We start from the raw sequence: 24,874 nt of genomic DNA on the forward strand, positions 1-24,874 counted from the left end.
TTTCAAAGTTTTCAACTTCTTTGCCTTTGGTTTGAATGTCCTCCCGTAGCGTAGAGTAATTTGATCGTCTGAAGCCTTCTTCTCTCAGCTCGTCAAAGTCATTCTCCATCCAGCTTTGTTCCGTTGCTGGTGAGGAACTGCGTTCCTTTGGAGGAGGAGAGACGCTCTGCATTTTAGAGTTTCCAGTTTTTCTGTTCTGTTTTTTCCTCATCTTTGTGGTTTTATCTACTTTTGGTCTTTGATGATGGTGATGTACAGACGGGTTTTCGGTGTGGAAGTCCTTTCTGTTTGTTAGTTTTCCTTCTAACAGACAGGACCCTCAGCTGCAGGTCTGTTGGAATACCCTGCCATGTGAGGTGTCAGTGTGCCCCTGCTGGGGGGTGCGTCCCAGTTAGGCTGCTCGGGGGTCAGGGTTCAGGGACCCACTTGAGGAGGCAGTCTGCCGGTTCTCAGATCTCCAGCTGCGTGCTGGGAGAACCACTGCTCTCTTCAAAGCTGTCAGACAGGGACACTTAAGTCTGCAGAGGTTACTGCTGTCTTTTTGTTTGTCTGTGCCCTGCCCCCAGAGGTGGAGCCTACGTGGCAGGCAGGCCTCCTTGAGCTGTGGTGGGCTCCACCCAGTTGGAGCTTCCTGGCTGCTTTGTTTACCTAAGCAAGCCTGGGCAATGGCGGGCGCCCCTCCCCCAGCCTCGCTGCCGTCTTGCAGTTTGATCTCAGACTGCTGTGCTAGCAATCAGCGAGATTCCGTGGGCGTAGGACCCTCCGAGCCAGGTGTGGGATATAGTCTCGTGGTGCGCCGTTTTTTAAGCCGGTATGAAAAGCGCAATATTCGGGTGGGAGTGACCCAATTTTCCAGGTGCGTCCATCACCCCTTTCTTTGACTCGGAAAGGGAACTCCCTGACCCCTTGCACTTCCCAAGTGAGGCAATGCCTCGCCCTGCTTTGGCTCGTGCACGGTGCACGCACCCACTGGCTTGCGCCCACTGTCTGGCACTCCCTAGTGAGATGAACCCGGTACCTCAGATGTTAATGCAGAAATCACCCCTCTTCTGCGTTGCTCACGCTGGGAGCTGTAGACCGGAGCTGTTCCTATTCGGCCATCTTGGCTCCTCCTCCACCACCAGGCCTATCTTACAAAAGCTCCTGAAGGAAGCACTAAATATGGAAAGGAAAAACCAGTACCAGCCACTGCAAAAACAAACCAAAATGGAAACACCATCGACACTATGAAGAAACAGCATCAACCGATGGGCAAAATAACCAGCTAGCGTCATAATGATGGGATCAAATTCACACATAACAATATTAAACTTAAATGTAAACAGGCTAAATGCCCCAATTGGAAGGCACAGACTGGCAAATTAGATAAAGAGTCAAGACCCATCCATGTGCTGTATTCAGGAGACCTATCTCACATGCAAAGACACACATAGTCTCAAAATAAAGGGATACAAGAAGATTTACCAAGCAAATGGGAAGCAATAAAAAGCAGGGGTTGCAATCTTAGTCTCAGATAAAACAGACTTTAAATCAACAAAGATCAAAAAAGACAAAGAAGGGGATTACATAATGGTAAAGGGATCAATGCAACAATAAGAGCTAACTGTCCTAAATATATATGCACCCAATACAGGAACACCCAGATTCATAAAGCAAGTTCTTAGAGACCTACAAAGAGACTTAAGACTCCCACACAAAAATAGTAGGAGACTTTAACACACCGCTATCAATATTAGACAGATCGATGAGACAGAAAATTAGCAAGAATATTCAAGACTTGAACTCAGCTCTGGACAAAGTGGACCTAATAGACATCTACAGAACTCTCCACCCCAATAGAACGACTGCTAGCCAGAATAATAAAGAAGAAAAGAGAGAAGAATCAAATAGACAGAATAAAAAATGATAAAGGGGACGTCACCACTGATCCCACAAAAATACCAACTACCTTCGGAGAATAATATAAACACCTCTACACAAACAAACTAGAAAATCTGGAAGAAATGGATAAATTCCTGGACACATATACCCTCCAAAGACGAAAGCAGGAAGAACAGAATATACATTCTTCTCAGCACCACATAGCACTTATTCTAAAATTGACCACATAATTGGAAGTAAGACACTCCTTAGCAAATGCAAAATAACAGAAATCATAAATAAACAGTCTCCCAGACCACAATGCAATCAAATTAGAACTCAGAATTAAGAAACTGACTCAAAACTGCACAACTGCATGGAAACTGAACAAACTGCTTCAGAATGGCTACTGGGGTAAATAATGAAATTAAGACGGAAATAAATAAGTTCTTTGAAACCAATGAGAACAAAGATACAATGTATAAGAATCTCTGGGACATAGCTAAAGCAGTGTTTAGAGAGAAATTTATAGCACTATATGTCCACAGGAGAAAGTGGGAAAGATCTAAAATTGACACCCTAACATCACAATTAAAAGAACTAGAGAGGAAAGTGCAAACAAATTCAAAAGCTATCAAAGGACAGGAAATAACTAACATCAGAGCAGAACTGAAGGAGATAGAGACACAAAAAACGCCTCAAAAAATCAATGAATCCAGGAGCTGGTTTTTGGAAAAGATTCAGAAAATAGATCAACTGCTAGCCAGAATAATAAAGAAGAAAAGAGAGAAGAATCAAGTTGACAGAATAAAATATGATAAAGGGGATATCACCACTGATCCCACAAAAATACCAACTACCATCAGAGAATAATATAAACACCTCTACACAAATAAACTAGAAAATCTAGAAGAAATGGATAAATTCCTGGACACATATACCCTCCAAAGACGAAAACAGGAAGAAGCCGAATCCCTGAATACACCAATAACAAGTTCTGAAACTGAAGCAGTAATTAATAGCCTACCAACCAAGAAAACCCCAGAGCCAGATGATTCACAGCCAAATTTTACCAGAGGTACAAAGAGGAGCTGGTACCATTCCTTCTGAAACTATTTCAAACAATAGAAGAAGAAGGAGTCCTCCCTAACTCATTTTATGAGGCCAGCATCATCTTGCTACCAAAACCTGGCAGAGACACACACAAAAAAGGAAAATTTCAGGCCAATCTCCCTGATGAACATTGATGCGAAAATCCTCAGTAAAATACTGGCAAACCAAATCCAGCAGCACATCAAAAACTTATCCACCACAATCAAGTCGGTTTCATCCCTGGGATGCAGGGCTGGTTCAACATACACAAATCAATAAACATAATCCATCACATAAACAGAGCCAATGACAAAAACCACATGATTATCTCAATAGATGCAGAAAACACCTGCAATAAAACTCAACACCACTTCAGATTAAAAATTCTCAATAAATCAGGTATTGATGGAACGTATCTCAAAATAATAAGAGCTATTTATGACAAACCCACAGCCAATATCATACTGAATGGGCAAAAGTTGGACACATTCCTTTTGAAAACTAGCACAACATAGCACAAAACAGCACAACATGAAAACTATTCAACATAGTATTGGAAGTTCTGGCCAGGGCAATCAGGCAAGACAAAGAAATAAAGCATATTCAAATAGAAAAAGAGGAAGACAAATTATCTCTCTTTGCAGATGACATGATTGTATATGTAGAAAACCCCATCATCTCAGACCAAAATCTCCTTAAGCTTATAAACAACTTCAGCAAATCTCAGGATACAAAATCAATGTGCAAAAATCACAAGCATTCCTGTACACCAATAATAGACAAACAGACAGCCAAATCATGAGTGAACTCCCATTCACTATTGCTACAAAGAGAATTAAATACCTAGGAATAAAACTTACAAGGGATATGAAGGATCTCTTTAAGGAGAACTACAAGCCACTACTTAAGGAAATAAGAGAGGACACAAACAAATGGAAAAACATTCCATACTCATGGATAGGAAGAATCAGTATAGTAAAAATGACCACACTGCCCAAAGTAATTTATAGTTTCAAAGCTATTCCTATCAGCTACCATTAACTTTCTTCACAGAATTAGAAAAAACTACTTGAAATTTCATATCAAACCAAAAAAGAGCCTGTACACTCAAGACAATCCCAAGCAAAAAGAACAAACATCACACTACCTGACTTCAAACTAAACTACAAGGCTACAGTCACCAAAACAGCATGGTACTGGTACCAAAACAGATATATAGACCAATGGAACAGAAAAGAGGCTTCAGAAATAACACCACACATTTACAATCATCTGATCTTTGACAAATCTGACAAAAACAAGCAATGGGGAAAGGATTCCCTATTTAATAAATAGTGTTGGGAAAACTGGCTAGCCATATACAGAAAACTGAAACTGGACCTCTTCCTTATATCTTATACAAAAATTAACTCAAGATGGATTAAAAATTTAAACATAAGACCTAAAATCATAAAAACCCTAGAAAAAAACCTAAGCAATACCGTTCAGGACATAGGCATTGGCAAAGACTTCATGACTAAAACACCAAAAGCAATGGCAACAAAAGCCAAAATTGACAAATGGGATCTAATTAAACTAAAGAGCTTCTGCACAGAAAAGAAATTATCATCAGAGTGAACAGGCAACCTACAGAATGGGAGAAAATTTTTGCAATCTATCTGTCTGACAAAGGGCTAATATTCAAAATCTATGAGGAAGTTAAACAAATTTGCAAGAAGAAAACAAACAATCCTATCAAAAAGTGGGCAAAGTATATCAACAGACACTTCTCAAAAGAAGACATTTATGCAGTCAACAAACATAGGGAAAAAATGTTCATCATCACTGGTTATTAGAGAAATGCAAATCAAAACCACAATGAGATACCATCTCACACCAGTTAGAATGGCATTCATTAAAAAGTCAGGAAACAACAGATGCTGGTAAGGATGTGGAGAAATAGGAATGCTTTTACACTGCTGGTGGGAGTGTAAATTAGTTCAACCATTGTGGAAGACAGTTTGCCGAATCCTCAAGAATCTAGAACTAGAAATGCCATTTGACCCAGCTATCACATTACTGGGTATATACCCAAAGGATCATAAATCATTTTATTATAAAGACACATGCACACGTATGTTTATTGCAGCACTTTTCACAACAGCAAAGACTTGGAACCAACCCAAATGGTCATCAATGTTAGACTGGATAAAGAAAATATGGCACATATACACCATGGAATACTATGCAGCCATGAAAAAGAATGAGTTCATGTCCTTTGCAGGGACATGGAGGAAGCTGGAAACCATTATTCTTAGCAAACTCACAAAGGAACAGAATACCAAACACTGCATATTCTCACTCATAAGTGGGAGTTGGACAATGAGAATGTATGGGCACAGGGAGGGGAACATCACATACCAAGGCCTGTTGGGGGCTGGGAGGCAAGGGGAGGGATAGCATTAGGAGAAATACCTAATGTAGATGATGGGTTGATGGGTGCAGCAAACCACCATGGCACATGTATACATATGTAACAAACCTGTATGTTCTGCACATGTATCCCAGAACTTAAAGTAAAATAATTTTTAAAAAGAATAAGGAGTTTCATTTGGAATTCCTTTTAAGGAACCAGAATTCAGCCCCATTGCTCTACTTACATAAAATAATGAATAGTTTCAATTTTCTCCATTACAATACTGCTTTCTCATCCACAACTGACTATAGACATTCCTGTAAGATGAGGGTTTCCAACCTACGGTCTATGGAGAAGCCACAGATGGGTATGTGCAATAAGCTTTGTCCAAAGACTGCACACACAATTTGTCTCTTACTCCTCTGAACTATTTTTTAATAAATGGAAGTGCTGTTGTAATTGAGAACATAAAAAATTGCATAAAAACATTATCGTATTAACAGTATCTTTTGTTATCATGTATTTTCTCAATCGATGAAGATAAAATATACTGACAACCTGCGATAAAGGAGTATACTTGAAATTTTGAGGTGTAATGCTAGAGAAAGTTGGGAATCTTTTTCAATATGTTTTATATTAATTAAATTCTGGTCTTTCTTTAACTTCTTTATGGCCTCCCACTGTGTGTCTCACCATGATCTCCAAAATGTCAAATAATTTGAATGGTTGCAATGGAAAAATCTCTGGGTAACTTCCTTTCAATGTGCTCTATTTAGCATAGCTTAGAGAAATCTTCATTTCCCCTATGCCTATTTCTGAACCCTCCCTTCACCCCAACCACCATGGCCTCAACTGTATGTTTTAGCACTGCGTTCTGCCCAGAGAAATTCAAGCATTGCTGCAGTAGCTTGATGACATTATCAAGGACACAAGTATGTATGTTTGTTTGTTTGTTTGTTTGTTTGTTTGTTTTTTTGTTTGTTAATTTTCCTGGTCTACCAATCTCAGCCAGTTGGCTGGCTTTTGATGTCAAGCTTGTTCCCTCGTGGTTCAAGAAGACCACAACATCACAGCCACATCCAAAGGCCAAAAAAAAATAACATTTTTTTCTCACCCATCTCTTTTTATCAGGAGGAAAATCTTTCCCAGAAGTCCCTCCCTGAGAACATTCCCAGAAGATCCCCTCAGGGACCACTAACAAGGAGAGTTCACATGGCCAAACTCAAACTGCAAGGAGGCAGGGAAAACAAGCACTGGAATTTTCACCTCTATAGCAAGAAGTGGGTACTTCCGGCAGAGTTAGGAGACAAGAAATGGAAAAAAGGCTGATGAGTGTTTCCCTTAGATAGAGGCTGTAAATTCAAGCTGAAAGGACACATATGTAGGCTTTGGGAGCCAAATCTACTCTTGTTCTAAGCCTGCTTTAGCTCTAATTTATCTCCCCATCCAATTCTTTACTTCCTTTTTAATCCAGTTATTCCCAAAGATCTTTATGGAGTGAGTTTTCTTTGTTCTCAAGATAATTTAAATTCATTGTAGAAAAATTTAAAATACCAGTAAGCAAATACTAGAAAAAGTAAGTTATGCTACTCTGAGACAAATACTGTTAATAGCTTGGTACATATTTCTTTAATCATTGTTATAGTAACATATAGCAATGTTTAAATACATTTAATATATTAAATATATTATGTTTAATTTATATATTAAATATATTTAAACATATAACAATGTTTAAAGAAATGTTACTATAACAATGTTTAAAGAACTATATATCACATATACATTATACAAACAAATATATATAATATGCATATATGTATATACATACATATATGTATACAACATACATATATATGTTATACATTTGGGTATATATGTTACACATATACTTTTGTGTGTATGTGTACATACATATAAATGTGTATGTACCAACACACATTTGTATGTTATATGTATAGATATACATATATATAACACATATATAACATATAACAATGTTTAAAGAAATAAATATGTAGTAATATACAATGTTTAAAATACATTTTTGCAAGGTATTTTCCTTATAGTGTTTTCTTCTACTTCACTATATATAGGAATGCAAAAATGCAAGAGAAATCACTGTGCTTAACTTTAAAAGTTGAACTATTTTGGAAAGCAAATTGAAGTCCTTAGAAAGTAGCCAATGCCAACTGATAGACAAAGATAATAGGAAAAAGAAACAGTCATAAAAGAGTTTGAAATAGTGTCAATTTCAAGTTAATTCATCAAGTTTATACATTAGTAAATGTGAAGTTACATGGTATTTGGCCAAAGTGTAATATTTGATGAAATTAATTTCCAGTCTAACATTTGAAATAAGAACACCATTAGATTTCCATGCATATCCAGGTTTGCTTTGACTATTACAGGCATAAGTCATTCCTTTTAACTCTGTTATGAATAATTCTGTAGCATTAGAAGGATTTAGGGTATTAAATGTTTGCTCTAGTTTACAAAAACATCCACAGAAAAAGCACTTTTATCTTTCAGAGTTTTCACTGAGCTTTTTCAAGGAACTTATTCAAATTCACCCTAAAACTCATTTTTGAATAACAAATATAGTAACTTTAAATTAGTCAGCATCACAGAAACGTTTTCCTTGCACTTCTAGAAAACACCTGCCCACAGCTCACATCTCATGGAGATGACGACAGCTTGATAGTGTGATTTTGACCAGCCATCTTGACTTTGCTTCTTTGATGCATCTATTTGGCCATGGGAATGTTTTGATGTTGTTCATATTCCAGCTTTGTCATTTATTAGATGTTTTCTGGTGACCTATGACTTAATCTTTATAAAGGCTCCACTTTCTCATGTATAGAATAAAAATAGTAATATGCACCTAATAAGCTTGTGGTGAGGATTAAATGAAATATTTTAAGTGCTTATGTCTAGGACATATCAGTGGCTCAGTAAGTATAGCAATGACAAAATCAGCAACTGGGGTATTGATGATGTTGATGGATGAAGATGGAGCAAGTGCCTGTACAACATAGGACTAAAAAGATGCTCTCCCTTTATCTGAGGGTCCGGTTCAAGCATCCCTAAACATAAAGCATGTTCAGTAAGCTTAATTATCAACTTTCAGAATTAAGTTGGGAAAATTAAAGTTATGTGAACTTCAGAATCAAAAAAGTTAGAGGCAAGAGTACTATCATGTGTTTGGTAGTGGCACTTACTGATGAAAGGTGACACTACAGGCCAGAAGTACCTTTCACATCTATTTCTTTCCTCAATTTACTGACTTAATTGGTTTTTAACATACTGATGGTTCATTTTTTGCCAGGTATTTTCTAGGTTCTTATTTTTGTCTTGGTATTGCAAAAGTTCTAGAAGCTATTAATGAAATCAGGGTATGCCCAGCTATCAAAGAAATGTTTATGATATAGACTTAGGCATATAGAAAGGAAAAAAGTCAATGGTGGAGAATAGACTGCAGTTTGGAAAATGCTATGAACCAATCCACTAAAACAAATGTTAAAAGAGGAACCACTACTGTTTCCAGAGAATCCTCATGAAAACTTCAACCATGAGTGCACACAGTACTAGAAACATACATGGCTCCTTAAAAAGATTCTTCAGAAACATGTGGCTGCTTCTATTTGTCCAGGATAAAACTTGCTATTACAGCATTTCCCAGTGTGAAAGAAATTGGAGTAGAAAGATTTCAATGTCGATTTCTGCTGGTAAACTTTTCCACAGCTATTCCTCCCATCCCCATCAAACACTATCATCATTAAAAAGAATAGAGAAGAAAAACAACCACATTGTCCTACGAAATAGACAATAAAAATTAGATACAGTTTTTGCTGAAAGTGTAAAAGGAAGATAATTCTCTTAAGAAGCATGCCTCTGTTGACGTCAAATAAAGTTGTATGACTTAAGAAAGAAGGTACAACTAATTACTGATTATCTTCCACTCCATGAAAGGAAAGGTGGAAACAGATGATATTATAATTTGAATCAATTTATTGAATTTAAAATTACTACTTTTCTACAGAATCTGTCTATGATGGTCACAGTAACCAGAGATCTGCAATGTAGTTTGCCTTGCCTGTGAATCCTGGTGTGTGTACATGTTTATGCATAGATGTATATAGGAACAAAATGTTTAGCCAGCAGCTGATGGAAAAACATTTGTCCAGTGTTTTGAAATATACAATTCTATCTTGGATGACAACAGCTTGATGTAAATTTGACACTCTTGTCTACAAATGTTGGTGTGGCAGGCTTAGTGACAAGAATATGGCTGAAAATTCTATTCTGGCTCAGTGTAAGCATTTAAGCATATGTCCATTTATCTCCTCCTGTACCAGTAACATATCCTATTCAACAGATGGGGCAGGTTACTGAGAACAAAGAATGATCGTGGCTTACGTTGTCTGCCCCACAAACACCTCTTTGAAAAGAATTTAGCCTTCACTTTTCAGAGCACTTTGATGTTTTGCATTTGGTTTAAGGCTAGTTTGGTATTGAAAAAGACTGTACATTCTTAATTCCTCAACACAGGAGTATATAAGAAAGGGAATTTTAACCCTTAATATTCTTGCCTGAAATCATCAGGCTAGGTAATATTAAACTTGAGTTAGCACACTTACAAATTTCAGCCTGAGAATTTATATGGTGACCTAAAAGTTTCTCAAATCAAAGTTGAGTGGAGAAGCTTTTCAATGACTAAATCTGACAAGTAAATGAGTATACACACATACACACAGTCACTCAACATCTACCATAGACTCATCAGTTTTCTCCAGTATAGGTTCACTATTGAGAGAAAGAAAAAGGAAGGAAGAAAGGAATTTGCACATGAAAATTTAAGCCTCTAAAGTATGTAAAATTCCTGAAAAATGAACAAAACAGATTTTAGGATTTTATAAATTTATAAATCGATTGATAGATTTTATAAATCAATATCACTTCATATTTCTCCATTGATTTATATCATTTTTTCAGAAATATTTTATCTGGTTTCTGATAAGCTCTTATTGCATTAACTTTTACTTTAATTATTTGTGGCTATTTCACACAAACTGTATTTCAAAGCCGTTGCAGCACAATGGTTAAAACAGATCTGTGTTAGAATCCTGTCTCTCTTGTAAACTCTATTTGCTTTACAAAAGTAAACTAACCAGTCATCAGTAAAGGAGGCATTGTAATATCCACCCCACCAGACACTCTAAGGATAGAGTAAGCTCTACACGCAAGGTGCTTAGTACAGTGCCTTGTCAACAGTAACATTAAAAAAAATGTCAATACCTGCTAAACTTCAGATTTCAAACCTGGCTACTTATTAGAACTTGGGTAGCTTTTTAAATACTGATACTGATGTCCCCATCCCATTCCAATGAAATCAGAATCTCTTTTTAATGTTCTCTTATTATTTATTATAATAATATTTTAATGTGCAATCTGAGTTAAAACCCACTTAGGCATTTTGTGGGCAAGGATTATATCTATCTTTTTCACCGTTTCATACCTATGACCTAGCACAGTACTTGGTACAGAAAAGGTACTCAATATATATCTTGAATGAATTAATTTAAAAGGTCTGTCTGTTCAACATATTTCAAGATAAATTAACAACAAATATCAGTACATGAAATGTTTATAAAACCAAGAAAAAAGAAAAGAAAAGTAATTCGGTATCCAAATGGAAACCTGAGCACACCATAGCTTCCATATTTAACTCCCAGGCAATAGAAGCATATGCCTTTCTGAAGGGGTGGACTGCCCCTCCACACCTGTGGGTATATGTCATCAGGTGGGATGAGAGACTAAGAAAAGAAATAAGACACAGAGACAAAGTATAGAGAAACAACAGTGGGCCCAGGAGACCGGAACTCAGCATACCAAGGACCTGCACCAGCACTGGTCTCAGAGTTCCCTCAGTTTTTATTGATTACTATTTTCACTATCTCAGCAAGAGGAATGCGGTAGGAGAGCAGGGTGATAATAGGAAGAAGATCAGCAAGAAAACATGTGAGCAAAGGAATCTGTGTCACAAATAAGTTCAAGGAGAGGTATTATGCCTGGATGTGCACGTAGGCCAGATTTATGTTTCTCTCTGCCCAAATATCTCTGTGGAGTAAAGAATAACAAAGCAGCATTGCTGCCAACATGTCTCGCCTCCCACCACAGGGCAGCTTTTCTCCTATCTCAGAATTGAACAAATGTACAATCGGGTTTTATACTGAGACATTCAGTTCCCAGGGGCAGGCAGGAGACAGTGGCCTTCCTCTACCTCAACAGCAAGAGGCCTTCCTCTTTTACTAAACCCCCTCAGCACAGACCATTCATGGGTGTCGGGCTGGGGGACGGTCAGGTCTTTCCCATCCCACAAGGCCATATTTCAGACTATCACATGGGGAGAAACCTTGGACAATACCCGGCTTTCCAGGGCAGAGGTCCCTGCGGCTTTCTGCAGTGCATTGTGGCCCTGGTTTATCGAGACAGGAGAATGGCGATGACTTTTACCAAGCATACTGCCTGTAAACATTTTGTTAACAAGGCACATCTTGCACAGCCCTAGATCCCTTAAGCCTTGATTCCATACAACACATGTTTCTGTGAGCTCAAGGTTGGGGCAAAGTTACAGATTAACAGCATCTCAGGGCAAGGCAATTGTTCAGGGTATAGGTCAAAATGGAGTTTCTTATGTCTTCCCTTTCTACATAGACACAGTAACAGTCTGATCTCTCTTTTCCTTACACATTTCCAGTCATCGTTGTATTATTCAGGTAAAATAAGAAGTAGATAATTTTGTTTAATCAGTAGAGCAACTAATAAGAGCTTTTACAACAACTTATAAAAATCTTACACTAGAAGAATAGTCCTCCACCTTTTTACTTTCACAGCATACTTATGAATACAGGAATGTTTGTCCACATACAAGAAGGGACTAAAAACCTCAAAGCAACACCAAATAAGCCAGAAGCAACTACAACATGATCATTACTATGAGTGGAAAAATGTCTCACAAGATTTATAAAACTCACTCAGTTATCCAATCATTTCCTCAATCTTGTTGTAGAGAATACGTTTTAGAAGAATTTTGTTCTTACTTTACTTCCTTATAAACTCATGTGACAAAGTTCTCACACGTTCCAGTAAGCGTTCAAAAGATTTTCAATGCCATTTTAGCTTACAGTAATAGCAAATTATACTCACTTATACTCTATATGCACCCCACAACCCTCTGAGCTCAAAGTTATATCTGACTGAAATTTTCAAGGTGGTAAGTATACTCGGTTGTGGTAAAAGGTAACATTATTCACTGATAACATTATCCAGCTCTTTCTATAATAGTGCTATATAACAATACTTCCCCAAACTCAGCAATTTACAATTACAAGCATTTATACACATGCTTCTGGGATGGCAGGGAAGCTGCAGTTTGACTAATGTAGCCCGAGCGAGCTTGGCTGAGCAGCTCTTCCTCCTGCTTCAGGTCAGCCGGGCACTGCTCCAGACTGTGGGTTGTAGGTCTGCTCCGATGTCATATTTTAGGTCCCAGAAAAAGGGAACATATTCTTCATGTGGCAGATCACCAGAATGCAAGAGAAGCAAATCTAATCACAAAGCACATTTCAAGCATCTGCTCATCTCAAAGCTGACTTCATCCACTGGCCAAAGCAAGGCATATGGCCCATCCCCAAAATCAAGGTGATGGGGGGAGAAAGATGTATGTTATCCATTATGAAGCTATGGCAAGTAAATGGATGTGTAATTCTGTTCAAGGGAAGCTAAGCGCTCAGTTTCATACTGAGCAAAATATAGTGGCGTACAATTTGAGAACTCCTGCCAGAAAACTCCTGCCAGAGGAAAGAGAATAAGGCAAGCAGCATTGATTATCATGCTTTGACTGAATAGGTGGATACCTTTCCAACTGGTTTGCTCAAAATATCAAAATGGCTCTCTACCTACCAGAATTTAAATTTTTATGATTAGAATCTCATGTTAGTTAAACAACCAAAATTAGAGCTCCAAGAGACTCCAATAAAATTTAGAATATTTCCTTAGAGACAGAGTAATAGAATCAGGTATCCTGAACCAGGCACAACAAGGTTTGAACCCCAGCTCCTACACTGACTAGCTGCGTGATCTTAAGTTACTTAAGTCTCTAAATGCTTGGAGTTTTTTGTTTCCTAGGTTGTTTTTGGCCGTTTTATTTTATTTCATCTATGTCTATACATTGGAAATAGTACTGACCTCATGGAATGGTAGTGAGGATTAACTGAGCAAATAAGAAAAGCATCTGACCAACTATTGGTGCAATTTCTTCATTCCCTTTCAGCCCTGAGAGCAGGGCCCACTTATGAGACTGGCTGTTTAGTTTCCTAAGAGAAGAGCAGAGGGAAAAGAGATGGTGATGATACAGCCTAAATTTCTTGGCACAGTCTTCATCTCTCTAAATATGTTTGTACCTTTGACACAATGTGTCTTTATTTCTTATTTAGAAAACACTATCACTCTTAGATGGATGACCTGGCAGTTACATGTGAGAAAGAAGATGCTCATCACTCTCTGCCCTCACCCTTCTTCATTAATCACCTCTCATCTAATTCTAACACACACTTTACTTCAATGCCATTTACTCTGTAAAGTATACATTGGAATCGCATGTATTCCCTGACCCTACGCTGCTCTCAACTAGGCTGGGTGCTCCTCCCATGTGCTCTATAGATCATAGTAATTCTCCATCTTAATATTTCTCATGCCACATTGCAATTGTGCATTATGTGGATCCCCACTCTGCTCTAAGCTCTTGTCGGTCTTGTTCATTCATTTTTTGTAGGATATGACAGTGATGGGCATCTATTATTTCGGCCTGGCCAGCATCCAGCCCTTCTTCTTGTGGTATCTCCTTAGTGGCATTATTTTTTATCCCTAGATTTAGCTTTAACTAAAAGTCTACCCATGAACCCTTCCCTAAATAATTTTTTTTAAAAGATCTCCTTTTGCTTACAACAGTTTGCATTACATTTGGAACTTCCAACTGAAATGACTGACATATAGAGGTGCTGGTTCATGGCCAAAGGGGTATTGCCAGTTACCAACCAAAAATATCCAATTTAATGAGTCAATGTACGGTAAACTGTTTCTCTTCTGCCCCCAAGTGGAAGCCAAGATTGAGTGCATTAGACTGAGGGTTCAGGGCATAGGCAGGGCATTGGGCCTCTTGCTCTGAGAAGCCTGGAGCCACAGACCCAGGGTACAGGGACTTGAAGGACACCAATAAACAGGAAGTGGGGAATGCAGATACCTCTGCAAACAAGCTCCCCTGGCCTCATCGCTTGGCATGGGACTCATCATGCTCCTCCCACAGGACAAATCTCAGTCTCCTGACAACGATGGGAAAGAGGATCAAATAGCTCAACTTCAGGAAGAAGTTGTTATGTTATTTTAAGAGTGAATGGAAGTCATTAGTACCATGACATTCCCGGTGTGGGCCTAGTCACGGAGCTGCCTGTTTGCCTTTGAAGCCGGCATGATGCAGCTGCTCCTGCATGTTTGCTCTGAAAATAAGATCAGACACCTAATCCTCTCCCACAAGCCATTACATGTTAGAAATGCCTGATTCTCCCCAGGCCACCTACAATCTCATGACCTGTCGTTTTTTTGCATTTACATCAGAGGGGATTTTCTTCCCTCTGCCTTACATCTCCATAGTTTCATAAAACTCTACATAATTGTACATAATTGAGGGTTTCAAACAGCAGTGATGGATTACATGACCTATTAAGTAATTTGATAGCCTACACCTCATTTTGCATTCAAAGACATGGGGTGAGCACAGAGAAAACGGACCTTCCTGGATCCCCTGATGGCTATGTGGTTGCCAACAGCTTTCCAGTGAAACACCTGTGAGAAACTGACCTATGCACATTGATTAGTAAGATTAGACTCAGAATTTGTGACAGAAAGAAGTATTTGAACACTTGTGCTTTGCACATATATGAATACATTTCTTTGCAATTGATTTTTGTATATAGGCAGAGGGTTGAGCAAAGCAGGGATAGAATTAAGTCCCTGAAAGCAAGAGCTGCTGATTTCTGATTAGGACCATATCCAGGAGTGCCATGGGTTTCAAATTGTATTCTTTAACCTCTTTGCCCTCACATATGGGTCTGGAAGGAGTTTGCTGAGGGTTCCATGATGATTAACTGGTTACTTCTAACCACCATCAATATTTTACTTGAGGGTAATAATAATTCCTTCTTCCTTTTTTCACATTTTTTAGTAAATCAAGATTTTCAAGGGACTATATTGGATAAAGGTTTTAGCAAATTGTTATTTTTTATTTTTTATCATGAATTGAGTTGTGTAAACTTGGATAGTATTTCAAAGGGTTCTGTGGTTTTAGAAAGTTTGATGGTAGCTAACTCGAGGTATTTCTCAGTCCTATAACTTCCAGCTTCAAGGTGATCCCTATGAGCAAGACTAAATACTGCCTAAATGATGCGGCCTCTATATTCACATCATCATTGGTTTTCTTTCCATTTTTTTACTCCCTCAAATTCCTACTAAAAACAAAAAAAGACACTAAATGAAACTAAAGCTATGTCCAAAATATAAATAAACAAGTATATATTGCTCTTTTAGAAGGCAAGTCTCATAATGGCCAGTGACAGAAACCAAAGTCAAAATAGCTTAAACAAAAGCAGAATACATTGTCAAACTCAGGTGTCCAAAGGACAGGCAGCCAAGAAGTCAGGCAGAGCACAGAGCCCAGTGCTGGGAGGATTTTAGGACTATTGCCTTTCACTCTCTCTCTCTCTCTCTCTAATTTTTTTTATTATACTTTAAGTTCTAGGGTACATGTGCACAACGTGCAGGTTTGTTACATAGGTATACATGTGCCATGTTGGCTTGCTGCACCCATTACTCGTCATTTACGTTAGGTATTTCTCCTAATGCTATCCCTCCCCCTGCACCCCAGCCCATGACAGGCCCCATGGTGTGATGTTCCCCACCCTGTGTCCAAGTGTTCTCATTGTTCAATTCCCACCTATGAGTGAGAATATGTGATGTTTGGTTTTCTGTCCTTGTGATACTTTGCTCAGAATGATGGTTTCTAGCTGCATGCATGTCCCTACAAAGGACATGAACTCATCCTTTTTTATACCTGCATAGTATTCCATGGTGTATATGTGCCATATTTTCTTAATCCAGTCTATCATTGATGGACATTTGGGTTGGTTCCAAGTCTTTGCTATTGTGAATAGTGCCACAATAAACATATATGTACATGTGTCTTTATATTAGCATGCTTTATAATCCTTTGGGTATATACCTGGTAATGGGATGGCTGGGTCAAATGGTATTTCTAGTTCTAGATCCTTGAGGAATTGCCACACTGACTTCCACATTTGTTGAACTAGTTTACAGTCCCACCAACAGTGTAAAAGTGTTCCTATTTCTCAACATCCTCTCCAGGCCGTTGTTTCCTGATTTTTAATGATCGCCATTCTAACTGGTATGAGATGGTATCTCATTGTGCTTTTCATTTGTATTTCTCTGAGGGCCAGTGATGATGAGCATTTTTTCATGTATCTGCTGGCTGCATAAATGTCTTCTTTTGAGAAGTGTCTGTTCATATCCTTCACCCACTTTTTGATGAGGTTGTTTTTTTCTAGTAAATTTGTTTAAGTTCTTTGTAGATTCTGGATATTAGCCCTTTGTCAGATGGGTTGATTGCAAAAATTTTCTCCCATTCTATAGGTTGCCTGTTCACTCTGACGGTAGTTTCTTTTGCTGTGCAGAGGCTCTTTAGTTTAATTAGATCCCATTTGTCAATTTTGGCTTTTGTTGCCATTGCTTTTGGTGTTTTAGTCTTGAAGTCTTTGCCCATGCCTACGTCCTGAATGGTATTGCCTAGGTTTTCTTCTAGGGTTCTTATGGTATTAGGTCTAACATTTAAGTCTTTAATCCATCTTGAATTAATTTTTGTATAAGGTGAAAGGAACAGATCCAGTTTCAGCTTTCTGCATATGGCTAGCAAGTTTTCCCACCACCATTTATTAAATAGGAAATCTTTTCCCCATTTCTTGTTTTTGTCAGATTTGTCAAAGATCAGATGGTTGTACATGTGTGGTGTTATTTCTGAGACCTATGTTCTGTTCCATTGGTCCATCTCTGTGTTTTAGTACAAGTACCATGCTGTTTTGGTTACTGTAGCCTTGTAGTATAGTCTGAAGTCAGGTAGTGTGATGCCTCCAGCTTTGTTCTTTTTGCTTAGGATTGTCTTGGCAATGCAGGCTCTTTTTTTGGTTCCATATGAACTTTAAAGTAGTTTTTTCCAATTATGTGAAGAAAGTCTTTGGTAGCTTGATGGGGATGGCATTCAATCTATAAATTACCTTGGGTAGTATGGCCATTTTCACAATATTGATTCTTCCTATCCATAAGCATGGAATGTTCTTCCATTTGTTTGTGTCCCTTTTTACTTCATTGAGCAGTGGTTTGTAATTCTCCTTGAAGAGGCCCTTCACATCTCTTGTAAGTTGTATTCCTAGGTATTTTATTTTGTTTGTAGCAATTGTGAATGGGAGTTCACTCATGATTTGGCTCTCTGTCTCTTATTGGTGTACAGGAATGCTTGTGATTTTTGCACATTGATTTTGTATCCTGAGACTTTACTGAAGTTGCTTATCAACTTAAGGAGATTTTGGGCTGAGACGATGGGGTTTTCTAAATATACAATCATGTCATCTGCAAATAGGGACAATTTGACTTCCTCTTTTCCTAATTGAATACATTTCTTTCTCTTGCCTGATTGCCCTGGCCAGAACTTCCAATACTATGTTGAATAGGAGTGGTGAGAGCGGGCATCCCTATCTTGTGCCAGTTATCAAAGGGAATGCTTCCCATTTTGCACATTCAGTATGATATTGGCTGTGGATTTGTCATAAATACCTCTTATTATTTTGAGATACATTCCATTAATACCTAGTTTATTGACAGTTTTTATCATGAAGAGCTGTTGAATTTTGTTGAAGACCTTTTCTGTATCTATTGAGATAATCATGTGGTTTTTGTTGTTGGTTCTGTTTATGGGATGGATTACATTTATTGATTTGCGTATGTTGAACCAGTCTTGCATCTCAGGGATGAAGCCAACTTGATCGTGGTGGATAAGCTTTTTGATGTGCTGCTGGATTTGGTTTGCCAGTATTTTATTGAGGATTTTCACATGGATGTTCATCAGGGATATTGGTCTAAAATTTTCTTTTTTTGTGGTGTCTCTGCCAGGCTCCATTATCAGGATGATGTTGGCCTCATAAAATGAGTTAGGGAGGATTCCCTCTTTTTCTATTGATTGGAATAGTTTCAGAAGGAATGGTACCAGTTCCTCCTTGTACCCCTGGTAGAATTTCACTGTGAATCCGTCTGGTCCTGGACTTTTTTTGGTTGGTAGGCTATTAATTATTGTCTCAACTTCAGGGCCTGTTATTGGTCTATTCAGGGATTCAGCTTCTTCCTGGTATAGTCTTGGGAGGGTGTATGTGTCCAGGAATTTATCAATTTCTTCTAGATTTTCTAGTTTATTTGCATAGAGGTGTTTACAGTATTCTCTGATGGTAGTTTGTATTTCTGTGGGATCAGTGGTGATATCCCCTTTATCATTTTTTATTGTGTCTATTTCATTCTTCTCTCTTTTCTTCTTTATTAGTCTTGCTAGCAGTCTATCAATTTTGTTGATCTTTTCAAAAAACCAGCTCCTGGATTCATTGATTTTTTTCAAGGGTTTTTGTGTCTCCATCTCCTTCAGTTCTGCTCTGATCTTAGTTATTTCTAGCCTTCTGCTAGCTTTTGAATGTGTTTGCTCTTGCTTCTCTAGTTCTTTTAATTGTGATGTTATGGTGTGGATTTTCCATCTTTTCTGCTTTCTCTTGTGGGCATTTAGTGCTATAAATTTCCCTCTACACACTGCTTTAAATGTGTCCCAGAGATTCTGGTACATTGTGTCTTTGTTGTCATTGGTTTCAAAGAACATATTTATTTCTGCCTTCATTTCGTTATTTACCCAGTAGTCATTCAGGAGCAAGTTGTTCAGTTTCCATGTAGTTGTGCAGTTTTGAGTGAGTTTCTTACTCCTGAGTTCTAATTTGATTGCACTGTGGTCTGAGAGACTGTTTGTTGGGATTTCTGTTCTTTTACATTTGCTAAGGAGTGCTTTACTTCCAACTATGTGGTCAATTTTTGGAATAAGTGCGACGTGGTGCTGAGAGGAATGTATATTTTGTTAATTTGGGGTGGAGAGTTCTGTAGATGTCTATTAGGTCTGCTTGGTGCAGAACTCAGTTCAATTCCTGGATATCCTTGTTAAGCTTCTGTCTCATTGGTCTGTCTAATATTGACAGTGGGATGTGAAAGTCTCCCATTATTATTGTGTGGAGTCTAAGTCTCTTTGTAGGTCTCTAAGAACTTGCTTTATGAATCTGGGAGCCCCTGTATTGGGTGCATATATATTTAGAATAGTTAGCTCTTCTTGTTGAATTGATCCCTTTACCATTATGTAATGGCCTTCTTTGTCTCTTTTGATCTTTGTTGGTTTAAAATCTGTTTTATCAGAGACTAGGATTGCAACCCCTGTTTGTTTTTTTTGTTTTTTTTTTTACTTTCCACTTACTTGGTAGATCTTCCTCCATCCCTTTATTTTTTTATTTATTTTTTTAATTGGTATGTTTTACTGTTTATTGCTGTAAGGAATTACATTAGTCAAATATAAATGTTTAGTACATTTTCTTTTTTTCTGATTTATTATCCTCTTTTTTTTATTATTATACTTTAAGTTTTAGGGTACAAGTGCACAATGTGCAGGTTAGTTACATATGTATACATGTGCCATGTTGGTGTGCTGCACCCAGTAACTCGTCATTTAACATTAGGTATATCTCGAAATGCTATCCCTCTCCCCTGCCCCCACCCCACAACAGGCTCGGTGTGTGATGTTCCCCTTCCTGTGTCCATGTGTTCTCATTGTTCAATTCCCACCTATGAGTGAGAACATGCAGTGTTTGGTTTTTTGTCCTTGTGATAGTTTGCTGAGAATGATGGTTTCTAGCTTCATCCATGTCCCTACAAAGGACAAGAACTCATCATTTCTTATGGCTGCATAGTATTCCATGGCGTATATGTGCCACGTTTTCTTAATCCAGTCTATCATTGTTGGACATTTGGGTTGGTTCCAAGTCTTTGCTATTGTGAATAGTGCCACAATAAACATATGTGTGCATGTGCCTTTATAGCAACATGATTTATAATCCTTTGGGTATATACCCACTAATGGATTGACTGGGTCCAATGGTATTTCTAGTTCTAGAACCCTGAGAAATCGCCACACCGACTTCCACAATGGTTGAACTAGTTTACAGTCACACCAACAGTGTAAAAGTGTTCCTATTTCTCCACATCCTCTCCAGCACCTGTTGTTTCCTGACTTTTTAATGATTGCCATTCTAACTGGTGTGAGATGGTATCTCATTATGGTTTTGATTTGCATTTCTCTGATGGCCAGTGATGATGAGCATTTTTTCATGTGTCTTTTGGCTGCATACATGTCTTCTTTTGAGAAGTGTTTGTTCATATCCTTCGCCCACTTTGTGATGGGGTTGTTTGTTTTTTCTCATAAATTTGTTGGAGTTCATTGTATATTCTGGATACTAGCCCTTTGACAGATGAGTAGATTGCAAAAATTTTCTCCCATTTTGTAGGTTGCCTGTTCACTCTGATGGTAGTTTCTTTTGCTGTGCAGAAGCTCTTTAGTTTCATTAGATCCCATTTGTCAATTTTGGTTTTTATTGCCATTGCTTTTGGTGCTTTAGACATGAAGTCCCTGCCCATGCCTATGTCCTGAATGGTATTGCCTAGGTTTTCTTCCAGGTTTTTTATGGTTTTAGGTCTAACATGTAAGTCTTTAATCCATCTTGAATTAATTTTTGTATAAGGTGTAAGGAAGGGATCCAGTTTCAGCTTTCTACATATGGCTAGCCAGTTTTCCCAGCACCATTTATTAAATAGGGAATCGTTTCCCCATTTATTGTTTTTGTCAGATTTGTCAAAGATCAGATAGTTGTAGATATGTGGCATTATTTCTGAGGGCTCTGTTCTGTTCCATTGGTCGATATCTCTGTTTCGGTACAAGAACCATGCTGCTTTGGTTACTGTAGCCTTGTAGTACAGTTTGAAGTCAGGTAGCGTGATGCCTCCAGCTTTGTTCTTTTGGCTTAGGATTGACTTGGCAATGCGGGCTCTCTTTTGGTTCCATATGAACTTTAAAGTAGTTTTTCCCAATTCTGTGAAGAAAGTCATTGGGAGCTTGATGGGGATGGTATTGAATCTATAAATTACCTTGGGCAGTATGGCCATTTTCACGATATTGATTTTTCCTACCCATGAGCATGGAATGCTCTTCCATTTGTTTGTATCCTCTTTTATTTCATTGAGCAGTGGTTCGTAGTTCTCCTTCAAGAGGTCCTTCACGTCCCTTGTAAGTTGTATTCCTAGGTATTTTATTCTCTTTGAAGCAATTGTGAATGGGAGTTCACTCATGATTTGGCTCTCTGTTTGTCTGTTATTGGTGTATAAGAATGCTTGTGATTTTTGCACATTGATTTTGTATCCTGAGACTTTGCTGACATGGCCTATCAGCTTAAGGAGATTTTGGGCTAAGAAAATGGATTTTTCTAGATATACAATCATGTCATTCACAAACAGGGACAATTTGACTTCCTCTTTTCCTAATTGAATACCCTTTATTTCCTCCTCCTGCCTGATTTCCCTGGCCAGAACTTCCAACACTATGTTGAATAGGAGTGGTGAGAGAGGGCATCCCTGTCTTGTGCGAGTTTTCAAAAGGAATGCTTCCAGTTTTTGCCTATTCAATATGATATTGGCTGTGGGTTTGTCAGAGATAGCTCTTATTATTTTGAGATACATTCCATCAATACCTAATTTATTGAGAGATTTTAGCATGAAGGGCTGTTGAATTTTGTCAAAGGCCTTTTCTTCATCTATTGAGATAATCATATGATTTTTTTGTTGGTTCTGTTTATATGCTGGATTATGTGGACAAAGACGCAACATACCAGAATCTCTGGGACACATTCAAAGCAGTGTGTAGAGGGAAATTTATAGCACTAAATGCCCACAAGAGAAAGCAGAAAAGATCTAAAATTGACACCCTAACATCACAATTAAAAGAACTAGAGAAGCAAGAGCAAACACATTCAAAAACTAGCAGAAGGCTACAAATAACTAAGATCAGAGCAGAACTGAAGGAAATAGAGACACAAAAAACCCTTCAAAAAATCAATGAATCCAGGAGCTGGTTTTTTGAAAAGATCAACAAAATTGATAGACTGCTAGCGAGACTAGTAAAGAAGAGAGAAGAATCAAATAGACCAATAAAAAATGATACAGGGGATATCACCACTGATCCCACAGAAATACAAACTACCATCAGAGCATACTATAAACACCTTTATGCAAATAAACTGGAAAATCTAGAAGAAATGGATAAATTCCTCGACACATACACCCTCCCAAGACTAAACCAGGAAGAAGTTGAATCTCTGAATAGACCAATAACAGGCTTTGAAATTGAGGCAATAATCAATAGTTTACCAACCAAAAAAGTCCAGGACCAGATGGATTCACAGCCAAATTCTACCAGAGGTACAAGGAGGAGCTGGTACCATTCCTTCTGAAACTATTCCAATCAATAGAAAAAGAGGGAATCCTCCCTAACTCGTTTTATGAGGCCAGCATCATCCTGATACCAAAGACTGGCAGAGACACAACAAAAAAAGAGAGTTTTAGACCAATATCCCTGATGAACATCGATACAAAAATCCTCAGTAAAATACTGGCAAACCAAATCCAGCAGCACATCAAAAATCTTATCCACCATGTTCAAGCGGGCTTCATCCCTGGGATGCAAGGCTGGTGCAACATATGCAAAACCATCCTTTTATTTTGAGTCTATATGTGCCTCTGCACATGACATGGGTCTCCTGAATACAGCACGGTGATGGGTCTTGACTCTTTATCCAATTTGCCAGTCTGCGTCTTTAATTGGGGCATTTAGTCCATTTACATTTAAGGTTAATATTGTTATGTGTGAATTTGATCCTCTCATGATGTTAACTGGTTATTTTGTCTGTTAGTTGATGCAGTTTCTTCCTAGTATCAATGGCCTTTACAATTTGGCATGTTTTTGTAGTGGCTGGTACAAGTTGTTCCTTTCCATGTTTAGTGCTTCCTTCAAGAGCTCTTGTATGGCAGGTCTGGTGGTGACAAAATCTCTCAGCATTTGCTTGTCTGTATAGGATTTTATTTCTCCTTCATTTGTGAAGCATAGTTTGGCTGGATATGAAATTCTGGGTTGAAATTTCTTTTCTTTAAGAATGTTGAACATTGGCCCCCACTCTCTTCTGCCTTGTAGCATTTCTGCCAAGAGATCCGCTGTTAGTGTCTTGGGCTTCCCTTTGTGGTTAACCGTCCTTTCTCTCTGGCTGCCTTTAACATTTCCTTCATTTCAACCTTGGTGAATCTGACAATTATGTGTCTTGGGGTTACTCTTCTTGAGGAGGTAACATCTTTGTGGTGTTCTCTGTATTTCCTGAATTTGAATGTTGGCATGCCTTCTAGGTTAAGGAAGTTCTGGATAATATCCTGAAGAGTGTTTTCCAACTTGGTTCCATTCTCCCTGTCACTTTCAGGTACACCAATCAAACATAGATTTGGTCTTTTCACATAGTCCCATATTTTCTGGAGGCTTTGGATGTTTCTTTTTACTCTTTTTTCTCTAAACTTCTCCTCTCCCTTTATTTCATTAATTTGATCTTCAATCACTGATACCCTTTCTTCCCATTGATTGAACTGGCTATTGAAGCTTGTGCGTGCATCACGTAGTTCTCATGCCATGGTTTTCAGCTCCATCACGTCATTTAAGGTCTTCTGTACACTGTTTATTCTAGTTAACCATTCGTCTAATCTTTTTTCAAGGTTTTTATCTCCCTTGCGATGGGTTCGAACAGCCTCCTTTACCTCAGAGAAGTTTGTTATTACCAACCTTCTGAAGCCTACTTCTGTCATCTCATCAAAGTCATTCTCCATCCAGCTTTGTTCCATTGCTTGCAAGGAGCTGCGATCCTTTGGAGTAGATGAGGCTCTCTGGTTTTTAAAATTTTCAGCTTTTCTGCTCTGGTTTCTCCCAATCTTTGTGGTTTTAGCTAACTTTGGTCTTTGATGTTGGTGACCTACAGATGGGGTTTTGGTGTGGATGTCCTTTTTGTTGATGTTGATGCTATTCCTTTCTCTTTGTTAGTCTTCCTTCTAGGAATCAGGTCCCTCAGCTGCAGGTCTGTTGGAGTTTGCTGGAGGTCCACTCTGGATGCTGTTTGCTTGGGTGTCACCAGCGGAGGCTGCAGGACAGCAAATATTGCTACCTGATCCTTCCTCTGGAAGCTTCATCCCAGA

General features: G+C 38.3%; 1 annotated feature.

Moving 5' to 3' along the window:
• Nucleotides 799-1,426: an enhancer, noted in NCBI's record as "OCT4-NANOG-H3K27ac-H3K4me1 hESC enhancer chr4:76201500-76202127 (GRCh37/hg19 assembly coordinates)". NCBI's record gives its function as "activates a minimal SCP1, AML or CMV promoter by ChIP-STARR-seq in primed H9 embryonic stem cells {active_cell/tissue: H9 hESC(primed)}" and the evidence as "EXISTENCE:reporter gene assay evidence [ECO:0000049][PMID:30033119]".

Source organism: Homo sapiens, chromosome 4 (assembly GCF_000001405.40).
Source record: "Homo sapiens chromosome 4, GRCh38.p14 Primary Assembly".
NCBI classification, from domain to species: Eukaryota; Metazoa; Chordata; class Mammalia; order Primates; family Hominidae; genus Homo; species Homo sapiens.